The 22,659-nt window shown below is 43.7% G+C and overlaps 1 protein-coding gene across 3 annotated transcripts in view, besides 1 other annotated feature; it reads left to right on the top strand.

Moving 5' to 3' along the window:
• The window catches only part of GATAD2B (GATA zinc finger domain containing 2B), a 118,248-nt gene that overhangs the window by 10,630 nt on the left and 84,959 nt on the right, over positions 1-22,659 (top strand). The window contains exon 1 of one of the 3 annotated variants that reach the window (XM_047426117.1): positions 13,095-13,487. The exons of the other annotated variants lie outside the window; for them this stretch is intronic. The gene's annotated coding sequence lies outside the window, so the exon portion shown is untranslated. Of the gene's footprint in view, positions 1-13,094; positions 13,488-22,659 lie in introns of those variants that run through there. 3 annotated transcript variants of the gene reach the window in all.
• Positions 7,169-7,670: an enhancer, noted in NCBI's record as "H3K4me1 hESC enhancer chr1:153877149-153877650 (GRCh37/hg19 assembly coordinates)". NCBI's record gives its function as "activates a minimal SCP1, AML or CMV promoter by ChIP-STARR-seq in primed H9 embryonic stem cells {active_cell/tissue: H9 hESC(primed)}" and the evidence as "EXISTENCE:reporter gene assay evidence [ECO:0000049][PMID:30033119]".

Here is a 22,659-nt window from a genome sequence, read left to right as displayed (position 1 = left end):
TTTTGAGACGGATTCTTGCTGTGTCAACCAACTTAGCCTTCACCTTCAGTGCATTCCCAGGAAGATAGTTGTAACTGAGCTGGTGAAGAAAAAAAAATTCTTCAATTTCTTTTGAGAACTCATGAATTTACATATATAGGTACCACCCTTTATGAACATTTTGATTGTTGCATGACTTTGTACTATGAAAGCCTTTAAATCTACCTAATATTATACTGTAAGTTCCTAACTTTGTCAAATATATTGGGTAGATATCACCGAAGAGTATAACTAAGGTTAGAATCTGGGCATTTTTAATTTCCAAATTAAACTTTCTATTCTGGCTCCGCGAATACTTGATAATTACAGGGAGAGTAAAATAGAATATGATAAAGTTTTATCAAAATAGAAAAATTAAAATGTAGCTTATGTGTGACTTTTGTGTTGTGTTCTAGATTCAGTTGTGTTGAGGGTATAAAAGGACTGATGAATAAAGGATACTGTTATGGTGCACGGAGGTATTAGAGGAGGACAGTGAGATTTTTACCCATTATTTTATAGGTTTATAAATTGAGTGAAGAAGGCTTTGGAAGTTGGCTTTGTTTTTTTTGTTTTTTGTTTTTTTTTGAGATGGAGTTTCACTCTTGTTGCCCAGGCTGGAGTGCAGTGGCGCGATCTCTGCTCACTGCAACCTCCGCCTCCCGAGTTCAAGTGAATCTCCTGCCTCAGCCTCCCGAGTAGCTGGGATTACAGGCGCCTACCACCATGCCCGGCTGATTTTTTGTATTTTTGGTAGAGACAGGGTTTCACCATGTTGGTCAGGCTGGTCGCGAACTCCTGACCTCAGGCGATCCACCCGCCTCGGCCTCCCAAAGTGCTGGGATTACAGGTGTGAGCCACCACACTTGGCCCGGAAGTTGTGCATTTTTAATTCTGTTGTTAATTTTGTTGATGCACTGCTTAGTAAATCTTTAATGAGCTGCCTAAACTGTGTCACATTAGCTCTTTCTTTTGTTGGTTATTGTGAAGACTTTGTTGATTTGTGTGTATGTGTATCTCTCTCATTCTCTCCTCTTGCTCTCTGTCTTTCTTTAAAAAAAACCAACCATTCTCAGTGTTGTGTATAAATTGAATTTTTGTGGCTGGATATGAGCAAATAGTATTGGTGGTACTTTTAGTGGATATTTTTCATTTAATTTCTTGAAAGCTTTTCTCCTTTGGTTAAACTAGAATAGCTTTTGCTCTTTTTTCACTTTATTCCCTGGAACATCTGTGTTCCAGAGAATATGCTTGAATTTCTCACTGATACTCTTAAAGCTTCTGTGAACCGAAATATTTTAGAGATATATTTCTCTACCTTCTCACCTGTAGGGAACACCTTTTATTGTACTATATACAGATGCTCTTTGATTTACGATGAGGTTATGTCCCTGTAAACTTATTGTAAGTTGAAAATAGCCTAAGTCAGAAATGCATTTAATACAGCTAACCTACTAAACGTCATAGCTTAGCCTAGCTTACCTTAAATGTGTTCGAAATGCTTACATTAGCTTACAGTTGGACAAAATTATTTAATATAAAGCCTATTTTATTTATTTATTTATTGTATTTATTTATTTATTTTGACACAGAGTCTTGCTCTGTCACCCAGGCTAGAGCACAGTGGCGCAGTCTTGGCTCACTGCAACCTCTGCCTCCTGGGTTCAAGTGATTCTTCTGCCTCAGCCTCCTGAGTAGCTGGAATTACAGGTGCTCGCCACCACGTCTGGCTAATTTTTGTATTTTTAGTAGAAATGGGGATTCACCATGTCGGCCAGGCTGGTCTTGAACTCCTGACCTCAGGTGATCCACCCACCTTGGCCTCCCAAAGTGCTGGGATTATAGGGATGAGCCACTGCGCCCAGCCCAAAGCCTATTTTGTAATAAAGTGTTGGATATCTTATGTAATTTATTGAATATTATACCAAAGGTGTAAACCAGAATGGTTGTATGTGTACTTGAAGTACAGTTTCTACTGAATGTGTATCACCTTCACACCATCGTAAAGTCGAAAAATTTTAAGTTGAGCCATTGTAAGTTGGGGAATGTACATGCTTGGCAAGTGGTCTTCTAATCTGTGTGTGAAAATCACTAGTAGCTTACCAATTCACCATGAATTCCTTGTTTATTTTTAGGCAGTATTTTAGAAAGCTTACATATCTATACATATAACATTACTTTTTAAAAAATTATTATTATTATTATTATTTTGAGACGGAGTCTCACTCTGTTGCCAGGCTGGAGTACAGTGGCGCATTCTTGGCTCACTGCAACCTCTGCCTCTTAGGTTCAAGCAATTCGCCTGCCTCAGCCTCCTGAGTGGCTGGAACTACAGGCATGCGCCACCATGCCCAGCTAATTTTTTTTTTTTTTTTTTGAGATGGAGTCTTGCTCTGTTGCCCAGGCTGGAGTGCAGTGGCATCATCTCGGCTGACTGCAACCTCTGCCTCCCAGGTTCAGGCGATTCTCCTGCCTCAGCCTCCCAAGTAACTGGGATTACAGGTGTGTGCCACCACACCCAGCTAATTTTTTTTTTTTTTTGTATTTTTAGTAAAGGTGGGGTTTCACCATGTTGGCCAGGCTGGTCTCGAACTCCTGACCTTGTGATCTGCCCCCCCGCCCCCTCAGTCTCCCAAAGTGCTGGGATTATAGGCTTGAGCTACCACGCCTGGCCAAATTTTGTATTTTTAATAGAGACAGGTTTCACCATGTTGGCCAGGATGGTCTTGATCTTTTGACTTGTGATCTGCCTGCCGTGGCTTCCCAAAGTGCTGTGATTACAGGCATGAGCCATCGTGCCTGGCCTTAAAAATTATTTTTAATGTGGCCGGGCATGGTGGCTCACGCCTGTAATCCCAGCACTTTAGGAGGCCAAGGCGGGTGGATCATGAGGTCAGGAGATCGAGACCACAGTGAAACCCCATCTCTACTAAAAATACAAAAAATTAGTCGTCATGGTGGTGGGCGCCTGTAGTCCCAGCTACTCGGGAGGCTGAGGCAGGAGAATGGCGTGAACCCAGGAGGCGGAGGTTGCAGTGAGCCCAGATTGCGCCACTGTACTCCAGCCTGGGCGACAGAGCAAGACTCCGTGTCAAAAAAGAAAAAAAAATTATTTTTAATGAGACAAGATTTTGCTCTCTTGCCCAGGCTGGAATGCAGTTGTGTGATCATGGCTCACTACAGCCCTCACTTCCTGGGCTCAAGTGATTCTTGCGCCTTAGTCTCCCAAGTAGCTGAGACCACAGGCACATGCCACCATACCCAGCTAATTTTTAAAATAAATTTTGTGGGGATGGGAATCTCGCTGTGTTGTCCAGGCAGGTCTCGAACTCTTGGGCTCAAGCAGTCCTCCTACCTCGGCCTCCTAAAGTGCTGAGATGTAATCCGTGTTCCAGAGCACTTTGGGAGGCTGAGGCAGGAGAATTGCTTGAGCTTAGGAGTTAGAGGCTGCAGTGACCTAGGATTGCACCACTGTGTTCCAGCCTTGGGGATAAAACACAACCTTGTTTCTTTCTTTCTTTCTTTTTTTTTTTTTTTTTTTTCCAAGTATGTTTCTAGGCCAGGTGCGGTGGCTCACACCTGTAATCCCAGCACTTTGGGAGGGCCAGGCGGGCGGATCACCTGAGGTCAGGAGTTCAAGACCAGCCTGATCAATATGGAGAATCCCTGTTTCTACTAAAAGCATAAAATTAGCTGGGCGTGGTGGCACATGCTTCTAATCCCAGCTACTGGGAAGGCTGAGGCAGGAGAATCGCTGGAACCCGGGAGGCGGAGGTTGCAAGATTGCGACATTGGATTCCAGCCTGGGCAACGAGCGAAACTCCGTCTCAAAAAAAAAAAAAGTATGTTTCTGGTGTCAAAAAGTCCTGGGTTCAAATTTCTGCTCCACCGTTTAGTTAGTTGTAAGATCTTTTACTTAACTTCTCTGTGCCTGACAGATTGTAAATGTCCAGTAAATGTTAGTTATGTTTTACTTTTCATTTTTTAAAATTTTATAGCGATGGGGTCTTGCTGTGTTGCCCAGGCTAGTCTCAAACTCCTAGGCTCAAGCAGTCCTCCCACCTTAGCCTCCCAAAGTGGTGAGATTACAGGCATGAGCCATGGTACCCAGCCTGTTAGTCATTCTTGTAAAAAAGATAATGGTAAACCTGGCACATAGATGTGTGCGTGCGTGAGTGTGTGTTTGTGTTAAAATGTACATAACATAAAATTTACCATCTTAGGCTGGGCGTGATGGCTCACGCCTGTAGTCCCAGCACTTTGGGAGGCCAAGGCAGGCAGATCATGAGGTCAGGAGTTCAAGATCAGTCTTAGCAACATGGTGAAACCCAGTCTCTACTAAAAATACAAAAATTAGCTGAACGTGGTGGCGCATGCCTGTAATCCCAGCTACTCAGGAGGCTGAGGCAGAAGAATCGCTTGAACCCAGGAGGCGGAGGTTGCAATGAGCCGAGATCATGCCACTGCACTCCAGCCTGGGTGACAGAGCAAAACTCCATCTCAAACAACACAAAAAAAATTAGCTGGGTGTGGTGGCAGGCATTTGTAGTCCCAGCTACTCAGGAGGCTGAGACAGGAGAATTGCTTGTACCTGGGAGGCAGAGGTTGCAGTGAGCCGAGCTCACGCCACTGCATCCCAACCTGGGTGACAGAGCGAGACTCCATCTCAAAAAAAAAAAAAAAAAAATTTACCCTTTTAAAGTATACAGTTTAGTGGCATTAAATACATTGATGTTGTGTAACCAACACCAGCATTAATCTCCAGAACTTCTTCATCTTCCCAAACTGAAACTTTGTATATATTGAACTATAACTCCCATTCTCCCCTCTCCGCAGTTCCTGGCAGTCACCATTCTACTTTGTTTCTATAAATTTGACTACTTCAGGTACTTCATATAAATGGAATCATACCACATTTGTCCTTTTGTGTCTGGCTTATTACACTGAAAATATCTTCATGATTTATCCATGTTGTAGCATGTATCAGAATTTCATTTTTTAAGGCTGAATAATATTCCTTTGTATGTAAATATCTCATTTTGTTTATCCATTCATCGGTTGGTGGATATCTGGATTGTTTCCGCCTTCGGCTGTTGCAAACAAGGCTGCTGTGAACATGACTGGGCAGATATCTGCTTGAGTCCCTGCTTTCGATTGTTTTGCGTATAGGATATATATCCAGAATTGAAATTGTTAGATCATGATAATTCATGATAATTCGGTTTTTGAGTAATTGTTACAGTTTTCCACAGTAACTGTATCATTTACATTTCTGTCAGCAATGCACAAAGGTTCCAGTCCCTCCACGTCCCTGCCAACACTTGTTATTATTTTTTGTTTGTTTGTTTTTGAATAGGAATTCTAGTGGATGTGAGGTGCTGTCTCATTGTGGTTTTGATTTGTAATTCCCTAAGATTAGTGATGTTGATCATCTTTTCAGGTGCTTATTGGCTATTCGTATATTTCCTTTGGAGACATGTCTATTCAGATCCTTTGCTTAGTTTTTAATTGGGTTTTTGTTGTTGTTTTTGTTTCTAAGTTGTAGGAGTTCTTTGTATATTCTGGATTTTAATCCATTATCCACATATATGATTCTCATTCAGTGGGTTGCCCTTTCACTCTGTAGTGTCCTTTGATGCACAAAAAATTTAATTTTGATGAAGTCCAGTTTATCTGTTGTTTTTTTTTCCTTTTTTGCCTGTGCTTTTGGTGTCTAATAAATCATTGTCAAGTCCAACATCATGAAGCATCTAAGAGTGTTAGCTCTTCTGTTTAGTCTTTCATTTATTTTGTGTTTTTTCTCATTTTTTTAAATTTACTTTTTGTATTGTATCATTTTTGTATTGCTGTAAATGTGTTACAGCAACTTGTAAAAGAACAATATTTTGTGTTAATTTTTTGTTGTTAAGACAGAGTCTGGCTCTGTCGCCCAGGCTGGAGTGCAGTGGCACAATCTTGGTTCACTGCAACCTCTGCCTCCCAGATTCAAGTGATTCTCCTGCTTCAGCCTCCCGAGTGGCTGGAACTACAGGCACACGCCACCACACCTGGCTAATTTTTGTATTTTTTAGTAGAGATGGGGTTTCACCATATTGGCCAGGCTGGTCTCGAACTCCTGACCTCAAATCAAGTGAGATCAAGAGAGCCTCTGGCTCTCCAAGTGCTGAGACTACAGGTATGAGCCACCACGCCTGGCCCCACACTGTTTTGTGTGTGTGTGTGTGGGGTGCGGGGGAGGGGAGCTTTTTTTTTTTTTTTTGAGAGGGAACCTCCCTCTGTCACCAGGCTGGAGTGCAGTGGCGTGATCTCGGCCCAGTGCAACCTCCGACTCCCAGTTTCAAGCGATTCTCCTGTCTCAGCCTCCCTAGTAGCTGAGATTACAGATGTATGCCACCACACCCAGCTAATTTTTGTATTTTTAGTAGAGGTAGGGTTTCACCATGTTGGCCAGGCTGGTCTCGAACTCTTGACCTCAGGTGATCTGCCCACCTCGGCCTCCCAAAGTGCTGGGATTACAGGCGTGAGCCACTGCACCCGGCTTTTTTTTTTTTTGTTTGAGAGACTGGTTCTTGCTATGTTGCCCAGGCATGGTTTCAAACTCCTGGGCTCAAGCAGTTTTCCTGCTTCAGCCTCCCGAGTAGCTGGGATTACAGGCAGGTGCCACTATGCCGGGCTACCACACTGTTTTGATTACTGTAGTTACGTAGTAAGTTTTGGAATCAGGAAGAATGAGTCGTCTGACTTTGTTCTTTTTTTTTTTTTTTTTTTTTTCCAAAATTGTTTTGGCTGTTTGGGCTTCCTTGAGATGCCATATGAATTTTAGGATGGGTTTTTCTTTTCACATAGTTTTTTACTTTGGGCTAAAAATCTGAATGGGATTCTGCTCAGTTATAGATAGTTTTTATTTCACCTAGGCCCTTGAATCACTGTATTTTTCTTATTTTTTTTGAGACCGAGTCAGGCTCTGTCACCCAGGCTGGAGTGCGGTGGCGTGATCTCTGCTCACTGCAACCTCCACCTCCCGGGTCCAAGAGATTCTCCCTGTCTCAGCCTCCCAAGTAGCTGAGACTACAGGGCGCCTGCCACCACGCCCGGCTAATTGTTTGTATTTTTATTAGAGACGGAGTTTCACCATATTGGTCAGGCTGGGTATTTTTCTTTATGTATTGTGTTGCTCTTGGCCAGGTGCAGTGGCTCATGCCTGTAACCCCAGCACTTTGGGAAGCTGTGGCAGGCAGATCACCTGAGGTCAGGAGTTCGAGACCAGCCTGGCCAACATATAGTGAAACCCCGTCTCTACTAAAGAAGACAAAAATTAGGGCCAGGGCGGTGGCTCATGCATGTAATCCCAGCACTTCGGGAGGCCAAGGCAGGCAGATCACCTGAGGTCAGGAGTTCGAGACCAGCCTGACCAATATGATGAAACCCCGTCTCTACTAAAAATAGAAAAATTAGCCAGATGTGGTGGCAGGCGCCTGTAATCCCACCTGCTCGGGAGGCTGAGGCAGGAGAATTGCTTGAAGCAGGGAGGCGGAGATTGCAGTGAGCCGAGATGTGCCACTGCACTCCAGCCTGGGTGACAGAGCAAGAGACTCTGTCTGAGAAAAAAAAAAAAATTAGCTGGGCCTGGTGGCACACGCCTATAGTCCCAGCTTCTTGGGAAACTGAAACAGGAGAATTGCTTGAACCCATGAGGTGGAGGTTGCAGTGAGATGAGGTCATGCCACTCTACTCCAGCCTGAGTGACAGAGCGAGACTCTGTCTCTCAAAGAAAAACAAAAAGAAAAATTATGTTGCTCCATACATCTTTGCTCTTATAAATGAATCATTTTGTTATGGTTGGAGCACTTTCTTCTTGTTTTAAAGTTTGTTTTCACATTTTAAAAAATTAAGATATAGAGTGAAAACTTTCTTGTCACTGTCTTTTAACTTCCTAGTTTTAAACCCCATCACTGTTTTTCCATTTCTATCATATTAGAGTTTCTTTATACATATACAAGCTAATATTTATTTATTTATTTATTTATTTATTTATTTATTTATTTGAGATGGAGTTTCAGTGTTTCACCCAGGCTGGAGTGTAGTGGCGTAATCTTGGCTCACTGAACCCTCTGTCTTCCAGTTTCAAATGATTTTCCTGCGTCAGCCTTCCAAGTAGCTGGGATTACAGATGCCTGCCACCACGCCCGGCTAATATTTGTATTTTTAGTAGAGACTGAGGTTTCTTCATGTTGGCCAGACTGGTCTCGAACTCCTGACCTCGTGATCCACCCGCCTTACCTTCCCGAAGTGCTGGGATTACAGGCGTGAGCCACCGGGCCTGGCATATCTATTTATTTTTAAGACAAGGTCTCATGCTGTTGCCAACGCTGGAGTGCAGTGGTGCAGTCACGGCTCACTGCAGCCTTCACTTCCCGAACTCAGGTGATTGTACCACTTTAACCTCTCAAGTAGCTGGGACCACATGTGCGTGCCACCATACCTAGCTAATTTTTTGTATTTTTTGTAGAGAGGGGATTTGCCATATTGCCCATGCTGATTTTCAACTCCTAGGCTCAAGCTGTCTGCCCGCCTCAGCCTCTCGAAGTGCTGGGATTACAGGTGTGAGCCCCACACTTGGCCAATGTTAGAACTTTATTGGGAAAGAATATTTAGGCATATGGTAAAGAGTATTTAGGTATATTGTAATATGTCCTGTTAACAGAAATTCTGTACTTTTCCTGTTGCTTACAATTCTGCTATTTAATGATTTTCATCGCTATTATTTTGTTAACATTGAACAATTTGAGTACTACTAGTACTCAAAAGTACTTTAAAGTATTTAAACTTAGTTTAGGAATGCTGATTGCCTAGTTCATGAAGTCTTATTTTATAATTTCATCTGTAATCCTGAATCTCAAACTATGGCAGAAAATCCAGGGCTCTGAGCAATGATATGAGTTTATTTTTCCAATTTCTGGAGTGAAGATTCCAGATGCTTTTCTCTGTCTTAGGCCTATTGTCTCGAAAAATGATAGTTAATTGTTCTGATAGAGAGAAAACTTGGGTCTGGTCTCTTGTCCTGCTTGTCAGAGCTGCTTACTTTGTAACCACTTTTTTTTTTTTTTGAGATGGAGTCTCGCTCTGTCGCCCAGGCTGGAGTGCAGTGGAGCGATCTCGGTTCACTGCAAGCTCCGCCTCCTGGTTTCACTCCATTCTCCTGCCTCAGCCTCCCGAGTAGCTGGGACCACAGGCGCCCGCCACCACGCCCGGCTAATTTTTTTGTATTTTTAGTAGAGATCAGGTTTCACCGTGTTAGCCAGGATGGTCTCAATCTCCTGACCTTGTGATCCCTCTGCCTCGGCCTCCCCAAGTCCTGGGATTATAGGCGTGAGCCACCGCGGCCGGCTGTAACCACTTAAATCTGCTGGTTGTGGGAAACTGCAAAGGCCTCCACATAACATTTCTTGTATGCCTACTATGTAAAGTAGTATGTAAAAGATATAAACATAGGTACGTTAGAGGATATAAAGATAAATTACAAGAAGATGCAGTCAGTAGACTAAAGACTACATGTATTAAAAGACTGCAGCTGGGCTTGGTGGCTCACACATGTAATCCTAACACTTTGGGAGGCTGAGGTGGGAGGACTGCTTGAGCCCAGGAGTTCGAGACCAGAGTGGGCAACAAAGTGAGACCCCATTTACAAAAAATATAAGAAAACTTAGCAGGGTATGGTGGTATGTGCCTGTGGTCCCAGCTACACAGGAGGCTGAGGTAAGAGAATCCCTTGAGCCCGGGAGGTTGAGGCTGCATTGAGGCATGTTTGAGCCACTTCACTCGAGCCTGGGTGACAAGAGTGAGACCCTGTCTCAAAAAAAGGAATACAATAATTATAATACTAGGTATAATATGTTTGTAAATTAAGTAACTTGCATATTAGGAACAAGTACCCCTTAAGTAGGAATTATACCCTCATTCAGCACTTTTTACACCTTGGCTGTAAGTATGATAGGCTTACCAAATCCTGAAAATTCTTTTTTTTTTCTTTTTTTCTTTTTTTTGAGATGGAGTTTCGCTCTTGTTGCCCAGGCTGGAGCGCAGTGGCGCAATCTTGGCTCACCGCAACCTCCGCCTCCTGGGTTCAAGTGATTCTCCTGCCTCAGCCTTGCTGAGTAGCTGAGATTGCAGGCATGTGCCACCATGCCCAGCTAATTTTGTATGTTTAGTAGAGATGGGGTTTCTCCATGTTGGTCAGGCTGGTCTCGAACTCCTGACCTCAGGTGATCCGCCTGCCTCAGCCTCCCAAAGTGCTGGGATTACAGGTGTGAACCACTGTGCGCGGCCTTTTTTTTTTTTTTTTTTTTGAGACGGAGTCTGATTGGCCCCTGCTCTCCTCCTGATTATCCCTGTTGCCCCAAGGCCATTTTAGACAGGACCGGGCACGTTCAGGGTGGTATGGCTGTAGACACCAGGGCCATTTTATTTAATTTATTTATTTATTTATTTATTTATTTATTTTTAGCAAGAGTTTTGCTCTGTCTCCCAGGCTGGAGTGCAGTGGCACGATCGTGGCTCACTGCAGCCTCCACCTCCTGGGTTCAAGTGATTCTCCTGCCTCAGTCTCTCAAATAGCTGGGATTACAGGTACACGCCACCATGCCTGGCTAATTTTTGTATTTTTAGTAGAGATGGGTTTCACCATGTTAGCCAGGCTGGTCTCAAATTCCTGACCTCAGATGATCCACCTGCCTCGGCCTCTCAAAGTGCTGGGATTACAGGTGTGAGCCATCGGGCGCAGTTGGACATTTTAACCAAAGAAAAATCAATCAGCTAGTTAACTTTCATGGAAGTATCAAAATGGTGTTGTCCAGTGAAGTCTCATCTTGAATAAATTTAACTCTAATGCACTTCCCCTCTACGCATCACTCTCGTTATTAAAGTTCCTGATTCTCATTTTGCCTTGGAGATGTGATAGTTTTATTTATTTATTTAGAGACAGAGCCTTGCTTTGTCACCCAGGCTGAAGTGCAGTGGCATGATCTTGGCTCACTGCAACCTCTCCACCTGGGTTCCAACGATTCTTGTGCCTCAGCCTTAACATACAAACATATAAATTTTTTTTTTTTTTTGAGGTAGAATTTTGCTCTGTTGCCCAGGCTGGAGTTCAGTGGCACTATGGCGGCTTACTGCAACCTCTGCCTTCCGGGTTCAAGGGATTCTTCTGCCTCAGCCTCCTGAGTAGCTTGGATTACAGGCACAGGCCACCACACCTGGCTAATTTTTGTATTTTTAGTAGAGATGGGGTTTTGCCAGGTTGGCCAGGCTGGTCTCGAACTCGTGACCTCAAGTGATCCACCCACCTTGGCCTCCCAAAGTTCTGGGATTACAGGTGTAAACCACCACGCCTGGCCAGTTTTTATGATTTTTAAATGATTGAAAAAAAATCAAGAGATTATTTTGTGACATGTGAAAATTACATGAAATTCAGATTTCAGTGTTTATAAGTAAAGTTTTATTGGAAATAACTATGCTCATTTTTTTTCATATTGTCTTTGGTTGTTTTCATGCTGCTACAATGTCAGAGTTACTAGTCACAACAAAGATGTTAAGGCCTCCAAAACCTAAAATATTTACTATCTGGCTAAAGAAAAGGCTTGCTGGGCCTGGCTTGATGGCACACGCCTGTAGTTGCAACTACTTGGGAGAGGCTAAGGTGGAAGGGTTGATTGAACCCAAGAGGTTGAGGCTGCAGTGAGCTGTGATCTCACCACTGTACTCTAGCCTGGGTGACAGAGCAAGACCCTGTCTCAAAAAAATAAAGAAAAAGAAAATAAGCTTGCCAGTCTGTGATGTAGGTGAATTCTGGTCCCAGATTAATGGTCATATTACTGGATACTCAAGCTATTCTTTTCTTTTCTTTTTTTTTTGAGACGGAGTCTCTATTGCCCAGGCTGGAGTGCAATGGCATGATCTCGGCTCACTGTAACCTCCGCCTCCCTGGTTCAAGTGATTCTCCTGCCTCAAGCCTCCTGAGTAGCTGGGATTACAGGTGCGTGCCACCACGTCCAGCTAATTTTTGTATTTTTTTAAGTAGAGATGGGGTTTCACCATATTGGCCAGATTTGTCTCGAATTCCTGACCTCGTGATCCGCCTGCCTCGGCCTCCCAAAGTGCTGGGATTACAGGCATGAGCCACTCACTGCGCCCAGTAAAAAAAAAGAAATTTTTAATAGAATATATATATGACATTTGCAGCTCATTGTTTTAGTGACTGTATAATATTTCATTGTATGGATATACCTTAATTTACCTAATCTGTCCACTTCTGAGGAACAGTTAGGGTGTTTGCAATTTGTGTATACGTGTGCTATGATAACCAGCCTTCCAGTGAAACATCTTACATAGATCTTTACACATTTAAGTATATTTGTAGGTAAAAGTTCTAGAAGTGTAATTAATGAACCAAATGGTATGCCCCTTTACAATTTTGTTAGACTTTAAGTTATTCTCCAAAAATTTGTACCAGTTTACAACCGCACCAACAGGCTATAAGAGTTTCTGAAACAACTCAATTGAAATGTAAACTTGAGAGAAGTAGTGTGGCTGGCCAGCAATGAGAACTGTCTGTCTTCAAGTGCCTTTGGGAACACTTATATACCTTATTAGCATTTCCTTTCAAAAAAAACAGTTGTCTTTGGATTTTGATTGTCAGGCATGTGACTACAGCCCAATTATTGGAAAGAGAAGAAGGAGGCTTTTTTTTTTTTTCTTTTTAAGATGGAGTTTCGTCGTCGTTACCCAGGCTGGAGTGCAATGGCGCGATCTTGGGCTCACTGCAACCTCCACATCCTGGGTTCAAGCAATTTTCCTGCCTCAGCCTCCCAAGTTGCTGGGATTACAGGCATGTGCAACCACGCGTGGCTATTTTGTATTTTTAGTAGAAATGGGGTTTCACTATGTTGGCCACGCTGGTCTCGAGCTCCTGACCTCAGGTGATCCGCCCACCTTGGCCTCCCAAAGTGCTGGGATTACAGGTGTGAACCAGTGTGCCTGGCAAAGGAGGCTTTTTAAAATTTTTATTTTAAGAGACAAGATCTCGCCATGTTGCCCAGGCTGGAATGCAGTGGCTATTCACAGGCATGGTCACTGCAGCTTCGAACTTCTGGGTCAAGCAGTCCTCTAGCCTCAGTTCCCCAAGTAGCTGGAATTACAGGTGTGTGCACCATCGCACCCAGCTGGAGTATACATTTTAAGATAAAAATTGTCTTCTTTGAAATGTTCCTCAAATGTCTCAACTTTTAGTCTAAGTGTAAAAGTTTTGATAATCTGATTTCTTGTCCTCACAATCTTTTAAAATCAGGGGCAACTTCAGGAGTAAGGAGCATGTACGGTTCCTAGTTGAGCTTCTAATTGGCAGAGGCAGAGAGCCAAACACAGCTACATCAGCAGGGTCATACTGTTTTCAGGGAATGGAGATGTTAAGGCAGGTAAGGGCAAATTCCTAATAAAAGTTAGATTACTTTGCTGACTGATTTTCTTGCTCTAATAGGTCACTTGTCTTTCTCCTCATCTCATTTTTCTGCTTTTACAGTGAAGGTGATTATTTTATTCAATAGATTTAGGTTTTGTTCAATGAATTTAGAACTTACTGGGAGGCTTTCACTTGCTCAGAATAGGGTCAGAGTAGGAAGGTTATCTTTGTTGGTGCCTCAGCCTCCTGAGTAGCTGGGACTACAGGCGTGCACTGGCACACCTGGCTAATTTTTTTTTTGTATGTTTAGTAGAGATGGGGTTTCACTGTATTGGCCAGGCTGGTCTCCAACTTCTGGTCTCAAGCAATCTTCCCACCTTGGCCTCCCGAAGTGCTGGGATTACAGGCGTGAGCCACTGTGCCCAGCCAAGATTGGAATCTTTTAAATACCTGCCAGAGCTATATGATTTGGGATTGGTATTTTTGTAGTTTATTATAATTTCTTTTTTCTTTTCTTTTTGTTTTTGTTTTTCTTTTTTCTTTTTTTCTTTTTTTTTTTTTTTTTGAGACAGGCTGTTACTCTGTTGCCCAGGCCGAAATGCAGTGGTGCAGTCATAGCTCACTACAGGCTTGAACTTTGGGTTCTAGCAATCCTCTCTCTCCTTAGCCTCTCTAGTAGCTGGGACTACAGGCATGTGTTGTTATACCTGGCTAATTTTTTTGTACTTTTTGTAGAGATGGGGTTTTACCGTGTTGCATAGGCTGATCTCAGACTCCTGGACTGAAGCGATTGGCCTGCCTCAGCCTCCCAGAGTGCTAGAATTATAGGCTTTAGCCACCGTGCCTGGCCTGGGTTTTTTTTTTTTTGTTTTTTTTTTTCTGTTTGTTTTTTGAGACAGGGTCTCATTATGTTGCTTGAGCCAGTCTAGAACTCCTAGCTTCAAGCCATCCGTTCGTCGAGGTCTTCCAAAGCATCGGGATTACAGGTGTGAGCCACCGTGCCAGGCCCAGGGAACGAAATATTTGAATATAGAAACATATATAGTTACTGAGGAAGTGCATCGTTTTCAGCAATTCTTTAAAAAAATTTTTTTAAATATATTGGCCAACTGTCTAGCTTTGAGACCTTAACCTATATAGCAGGAGTGGTGATCTGAATCCATTACAATATAGTTGATATTTTTAGAAGACATAAATTCTGGGTCCCTATAGAAGAAATTTTTCTTAAGCAGAAACTTACACTTTAGAGCAATATAATGTAGTTTTGACTTTTTGTAGAAAATATGTACTTAGTCTCTTATCAGTTATTTTCCTGAGAAGCACTCATCTTTCTCTTGCACCCACATTGGGTAGTCTGAGATAGTTAGCACCAAAAGTCAAGTAATCCTATTTGAGGTAACTCTCTTTTGTTCACATATCCCAATCTTGCATAAGATCATTCTGTTCTCATCGTATTAGAAGAAACAGAAAAGCCAAAATCAGATGATTTGAGTACTTTTCATCTTTTCTTCTTATTTTTAAAAAACAGGTGTTTTGGTGTTTTGGCCAGGCGCAGTGGCTCACGCCTGTAATCCCAGCACTTTCGGAGGCCGAGGTGGGCGGATCACGAGGTCAGGAGATCGAGACCATCCTGGCTAACACAGTGAAACCCCGTCTCTACTAAAAATACAAAAAATTAGCTGGGTGAGGTGGCGGGCACCTGTAATCCCAGCTACTCGGGAGGCTGAGGCAGGAGAATGGCGTGAACCCCAGGGGGTGGAGCCTGCAGTGAGCCGAGATCGTGCCACTGCACTCCAGCCTGGGCGACAGCAACACTCCATCTCAAAAAAAAAAAAAAAGTGTTCTAAGAGCTATTTTAGTTCCCAAAGCCATAACCACAGTATTTTTTAATTAACTGGAAGTATTTGTTTAACCAATTTCTCTTTTTGAAAAGATCCTTCAAAAATGGGTCTTACTAATGTTGCCTTGGATATAAAAAGCAATGAGTATAAAATCTGTAGTTTGATGACATTTTTTCCCTTAAGAAATTTATGGATGTGTTAGCAGAATATAGCATGATCTCCTGAACTCTCTGTAGTTAATATTTCAGTCAGTATTAGGAGTTGCTTCATTGACCTTGAAAATTTTCTTGTTCATGGTTGGGCACAGTGACTCATGCCTGTAATCCCAGCACTTTGGGAGGCCGAGCCAGGCGGATCACCTGAGGTTGGGAATTGGAGTCCAGCCTGACCAACATGGAGAAACCCCATGTCTACTAAAAATACAAAATTAGCTGGGTGTGGTGGTGCATGCTTGTAATCCCAGCTACTCAGGAGGCTGAGGCAGGAGAATTGCTTGAACCCGGGAGGTGGAGGTTGTGGTGAGCAGAGATCATGCCATTGCACTCCAGCCTGGGCAACAAGAGCGAAACTCCATTTCCAAAAAAAAAAAAAAAAAAAGAAAATTTTACTGTTCACTCTTACAGGACCTCAAGCCATTCTGTTTTTATGGTCCCTCCTACTTTCCCTTTTGTTTCAGATTATCCCCTTTATCTGACCTATTTGTTGGAGTGGAGAATCCAGTTCTTCTTTGAGTGGTGCTTTTGATTCAGGATAGGCAACTATCTTAATATTAGGAGCCAGGATCTGTTTTATGCCTCATCTCATGCAGCTTTCTTTAATGCTATTTAGAGACTTCCTTGTTAGATGGATTTTTTTTAAAATATATTTTTAAGAGACAGAATCTCATTCTGTTGCCCAGGCTGGAGTGCAGTGGCTGTATCATAGCTTACTACAGCCTAGAACTACTGGGCTCAAGTGATCCTCCCACTTCCTCCTGAGGAGCTGGGACTACAGGCGCATGCCACAGCACCTAGCTAATTTTTTTTTTTTTTTTTTTTAAGACAGAGTCTTGCTATGTTGCCCAGGCTGGTCTTGAACTCCTGGGTTCAGGTGATCCTCCCACCTCAGCCTCCCAAAGTGCTGGGATTATAGGCATGAGCCACTACACCCAGCCCAGATGGATTTTTGAAAAGCCTTTCTTATTTCCAGAGTCAGAGGTATAAAAGTCTCAATGAACAGCGTACTCAGCCCTAACCTTAGCTGTGAGCATCAGACTTAGAATCTTTGTAGATAAAGAGAAACAGGTAACTGAAGCTATATGGATAAAGGAAGGACCCAAATACTGCATATCTTAGATTCAAGAGTACATCATTATATTGTCAATAAATTTTTAGTAACATGTCTCCTTTGCCCCTCAGATGTCTCCGTTCTTTTTATTTTTTCTTCTTTTTTTTTTATTTTTATTTTTGTGGGAGACGGGGTCTCACTCTGTTGCCCAGGCTAGAGTGCAGTGGCACGATCGTGGCTCACTGCAGCCCCAATCTCTTGGGCTTAAGTGATCCTCCCATATCAGCCTCCCAAGTAACTGGGACTACATGCATGTGCCACCACGACTGGTTGGTTCTGTACCTCTTGTACCTGACTGTCATCAGCATTAAGCCAAGGAAATACTGCCAATCTCTTGTTTATCAGTTTCTGTAAACTTTTTTTTTTTTTTTGAGATGGAGTCTCGCTCTGTCACCCAGGCTGCAGTGCAGTGGCGCGATCTTGGCTCACTGCACCCTCTGCCTCCCAGGTTCACCTGATTCTCTCATGCTTCAGCCTCCCAAGTAGCTGGGACTACAGGCACGTTCCACCACGCCCAGCTAACTTTTTGTTTGTTTGTTTGTTTTTGAGACGGAGCTTCGCTCTTGTTGCCCAGGCTGGAGTGCAATGATGTGATCTTGGTTCACCGCAACATCTGCCTCCTAGGTTCAAGGGATTCTCCTGCCTCAGCCTCCCAAGTAGCTGGGATTACAGGCATGTGCCACCACACCTGACTAATTTTGTATTTTTAGTAGAGATGGGGTTTCTCCATGTTGGTCAGGCTGGTCTTGAGCTCCTGACCTCAGGTGATCCACCTGCCTTGGCCCCCCAAAGTGCTGGGATTACAGGTGTGAGCCACCTCGCCCAGCCTTTGTTTGTTTTTTTGAGACGTAGTCTCGACCTGTCACCCAGGCTGGAGTGCAGTGGAGCAATCTCCACTTACTGCGACCTCTGCCTCTCGGGTTCAAGCGATTCTCCTGCCTCAGCCTGCCAAGTAGCTGGGACTGCAGGCGCGTGCCACCATGCCTGGCTAATTTTTTGTATTTTTAGTAGAGACGGGGTTTCCCCGTGTTAGCCAGGATGGTCTCAATCTTCTGACCTCGTGATCTGCCTGTCTCGGCCTCCCAAAGTGCTAGGATTACAGGCGTGAGCCACTGTACCTGGCCCGTAAACTTTTTTTTTTAACTGAGGTATAATGTACATACAGAAAAGTAGTTTAATTGTAAGGTGACCACCCAGATAGAGATATAGAAGACCCAGAAGTCTTTTTTTGTTTTTTGAGACAGAATCTTGCTCTGTCGCCCATGCTGGAGTGCGGCGGCACGAATTCAGCTCACTGCAACCTCTGCCTTCTGGGTTGAAGCGATTTTCTTGCCTCAGCCTCCTGAGTAGCTAGAACTGCAGGCGTGTGCCACCACACCTGGCTAATTTTTGTATTTTTAGTAGAGACGAGGTTTCACCATGTTGGCCAGGCTGGTTTTGAACTCCTGACCTCAAGTGATCTGCCCGCCTCAACCTCCCAAAGTGCTGGGATTACAAGCGTAAGCCACATGCTCAGTCCCAGAAGTCTGTTTTATGTTCTCTCCTAGTCATTACCCTCCTCCACTCCAACAGGTAGCCACTATTCTGACTTCCTCTGGTAGTATTTGTGTTCAACTACAAGCTTGAGACTTGGTAATAATTGCCACAAACCTCCTTGAAGATAAAGTCATGTTGGTGGTGTTTAATATAGTGGTTCCAGTTAGTATGGGGACATTTTTTGGGTTTTTTTTTTTTTTTTTTTTTTTTTTTAGATGGAGTCTTGTTCAGTCACCCAGGCCAAGTGCAGTGGTGCGATCTCGGCTCACTGCAGCCCCCGCCTCCCAGGTTCAAGCGATTCTCCCGTCTCAGCCTCCTGAGTAGCTGGGATTACGGGCACCTGCCACGATGCCTGGCTAATTTTTATATTTTCAGTAGAGATGGGATTTCACCATGTTGACCAGGCTGTTCTCGAACTCCTGACCCTGTGATCCACCCACCTTGGCCTCCAAAGTGCTGGGATTACAGGCATGAGCCAGTGTGCCTGGCCAAGAATAAACTTTTCTAAAAGTTCAGTTTTACTTAGGGGAAGGGGTAAACTTATTTTATTTTTTTTTTTGAGACAGAGTCTTGCTCTGTTGCCCAGGCTGGAGTGCAGTGTTGTGATCTCGGCTCACTGCAACCTCTGCCTCCTGCAGCTCAAGCAATCCTCCCACTTCAGCCTCTTGAGTAGCTGGGACTACAGGCATGTGCCACCCTGCCCAGCTAACTTTTTGTCTTTTTTTGTAGAGACTGGGTTTCGGCATGTCACCCAGGCTGGTGTGAAACTTCTGGGCTCAAGTGATCTGCCTGCCTCAGTCTCCCAAAGTGCTGGGATTACAGATGTGAGCCGGCCCGTGCCCAGCTGGGATAAACTTTTTAAGGTGAACATTTACTGCCCTGTAAAATGATAAGCCTGCCTACTATACCAAATCCTCGTAACAACAGTCAGAATTTTGACAAATCTTTATGTCACTGAATTGAAGAAAAGTGTCACTGTTTTTCCTGTAGGTTCCATGTGCTCATCAATGCTAATGGGCAAATCTCAGCTAATAGACTGCTAGAAGTTTCCTCTAGGTAAAATCCAGACCAGACAAGTTTTTCCTCTTGTACTGTGTTTAGGTACAGCCTCACAGAACTTGATCCACTCCTCTGCATGAATATTTTCTTCCCTCATTTCAATAAAGAAGATTTCTTGGCCGGGCGCAGTGGCTCACACCTATAATCCCAGCACTTTGGGAGGCCGAGGCGGGTGGATCACGAGGTCAGGAGTTCAAGATCAGCTTGGCCAACATTGTGAAACCCCGTCTCTACTAAAAATACAAAAATTAGCCAGGCGTGGTGGCACGTGCCTGTAGTCCCAGCTACTTGGGAGGCGGAGGTAGGATAATTGCCCGAACCCGGGAGGCAGAGGTTGCAATAAGCCAAGATGGCACAACTGCACTCCAGCCTGGGTGACACAGGGAGACTGTCTCAAAAAAAAAAAAAAAAAAAAAAGGTTTCTTACAAGTCTACTGGATACTGTCTAATGTTGGGCCCATTTTGATGACAAAATTATTTTATAATATTGTTGGACAGAAGCGATGAATGTCCAGAATTTCACATTGGCATATCTTATCCATCAATTCTGATTTTAAACTCCTTGACCATTTACTAGTCAATTGTTATGAGCAGCTATGTATTCATGTATCCCTCTACAGTCTAGAGAGTTCTAGGTGAGTGATGATGCTTTGACCCTGAAAGACCCCTTTACTTATCAGTTTATTTATTTTTCCCTTGGATTCAATAGGAGGGAATACTTATTAGTATGTTTAATATTTGGTCAGCTAGATCTTTTTTCCTAGATATCTGATCTTTAGCCTTTAGTGTGTCTTACCTTAACTAGTGGTAGTGTTCTATATACTATAATAGTCTTGTTACCTGTTTTACTCTTGAGTTTTGTGAGTGACTTATGCTGCTTCTAGCTAGGCCTGGGGATTCTGTCCCTAATTGTCTTGTCTTTTCTTTTTTTTTTTTTTTTTTTTTTGAGACGGAGTCTCACTCTGTTGCCAGGCTAGAGTGCAGTGAAATGATCTCGGCTCACTGCAACCTCCGCCTCCTGGGTTTAAGCAATTCTCCTGCCTCAGCCTCCCGAGTAGCTGGGACTACAGGCGTCTGCCACCGCCATGCCTGGCTAATTTTTGTGTTTTTAGTAGATACGGGGCTTCACCATGTTGGCCAGGATGGTCTCGATTTCTTGACCTCATGATCCGCCCGCCTCAGCCTCCCAAAGTGCTAGGATTACAGGCATGAGCCACTGCACCCGGCCATAAACTCTGTCCCTAATTTTCATTGTGCTTATGTCTTTTAGTAATTATGTTAAATCTAGCCATTCCTTTTATTTTTAAATTTTAGTCAGTTTTTGGATAGGTGATATATGCACATGGTACAGAATTTACAATTGGAAAAAGTTTACAGTAAAAAAGGACATCTCTTTCTTTGGAGACAGAACTTAATCTACTTCTTTTCCCTCCCCTCCCCCCCCCCCATACTTACCTCCTCTTACCCTTCCCCTCTCCTTTTTCCTTCCCTTTGCCTCTCCCCCCCACCTCTTTTTTTTTTTTTTTTTTTTTTTTAAACGAGACAGAGTTTCACTTTTGTTGCCCAGGCTGGAGTGCAGTGGCACGATCTCAGCTCACTACAAACTCTGCCTCCTGGGCTCAAGCAGTTCTCCTGCCTCAACCTCCCAAGTAGCTGGGATTTACAGGTGCCCGCCACCACACCTAGCTAATTTTTTATATTTTGAGTAGGGATGGGGTTTCACCATGCTGGCCAGGCTGGTCTTGAACTGCTGACCTCAAGTGACCCACCCACCTTGGCCTCCCAAAATGCTGGGATTACTGGCATGAACCACCACTCCCGGCTGCCTTCCCTTTTTTCTTCCCTTTCCTTTTTTTTTCACCTCTTTCTTTCCTTTCCCTTCCCTTTTTCCTTTCCTTTCTTTTCCTTTTTTATTTGTGTGTTTCTTTGAGGCGGAATCTCGCTGTCGCCCAGGCTGGAGTGCAATGGTGCGATCTCAGCTCACTGCAAACTCCGCCTCCCAGGTTCAAGCAGTTCTCCTTCCTCAGCCTCCTGAGTAGTTGGGATTACAGGTGCCCACCACCACACCTGGCTAATTTTTGTATTTTTAGTAGAGACGGGGTTTTGCCATGTTGGTCAGGCTGGTCTTGAACTCCTGACCTCAGGTGATCCTCCCACCTCGGCCTCCCAAAGCGCTGGGATTATAGGTGTGAGCCACCGCACCTGTCGGCACATTTTATTAAAGAAAAACTTTGCATGGTTTACTTTTTGCCAGTCTGTTCTGGCATGCGTTTAATGATAGCAGAATCACCTGGGTTAACGATAGCCAGTGTACAAACTCTGTAGTATTTTCTACATGCCTTACAGTTATTGTCACTGTAATGATGGATGCCAGTTTTGGCCAACATGGTGTTTAGTACTCTGTTTTGGATTTCCTTAAAGATGGGCAGTTGGTGAGGATGACCAATTTCACTTTAAATAAGTTGGAGCCTAGAGTTGATCAACTCCAGCCGCTTTTTCATCCTCTGCGGCCACCAGCTTTCTGTCTTAGGTTCAGGATGGCCCCCAACCAAGAGCAGCTGCCAGGCTGGCTGGGAAGCAAGAAAGCCTGTTTCTTGTTCTGTCGTTTTTTTTTTTTTTTTTGAGACGGAGTCTTGTTCTTTCGCCTAGGCTGGAGTGCAGTGGTGTGATCTTGGCTCACTGCAACCTCTGCCTCCTGGGTTTATGCGATTCTTCTGCCTCAGCCTCCTGAGTAGCTGGGACTACAGGTGCGTGCCACCACGTCCGGCTAATTTTTTGTATTTTTAGGAGAGACGGGGTCTCACTGTGTTAGCCAGGATGGTCTTGATCTCTTGACTTTGTGATCACTCGCCTCGGCCTCCCATAGTGTTGGGATTACAGGTGTGAGCCACCACACCAGGCCTCTTATCTTTCTTTTTTTTTCTTTTTTTTTTTTTTGAAACAGAGTTTCGCTCTTGTTGCCCAGGCTGGAGTGCAATGGCGCGATCTTGGCTCACTGCAACCTCTGCCTCCCGGGTTTAAGTGATTCTTCTGTCTCAGCCTCCCGAGTGGCTGGGATTGCAGGCATGCCCCCATGCCTGGCTAATTTTTTGTATCTTTAGTAAAGACAAGTTTCTCCATGTTAGTCAGGCTGGTCTCCAACTCCCGACCTCAGGTGATCTGCCCACCTTGGCCTCCCAAAGTGCTGAGATTACAGGCGTGAGCCACCGCGCCCCACTGGCCTCTTATCTTTCTATTGATAATGTAGATGTTTGTAAATTTCCTGTGACTTTTTTTATTTTGTATTCTGAAGAACTTACATACCCAAATAGAGTACAAAGTAATTAACTTTCATGTGCCCACCACAAGCTTCAAAAATTACTAACATTTTGCTATTCTTTACAGTTAATTTTAATGTTGAAAATACAGAGAACATATGAAAATAAG

This window comes from Homo sapiens, chromosome 1 (genome assembly GCF_000001405.40).
Source record: "Homo sapiens chromosome 1, GRCh38.p14 Primary Assembly".
NCBI lineage: Eukaryota > Metazoa > Chordata > Mammalia > Primates > Hominidae > Homo > Homo sapiens.
The sequence above is the reverse complement of the archived record's forward strand: the minus strand, read 5'-3'. Positions and strand labels throughout refer to the sequence as shown.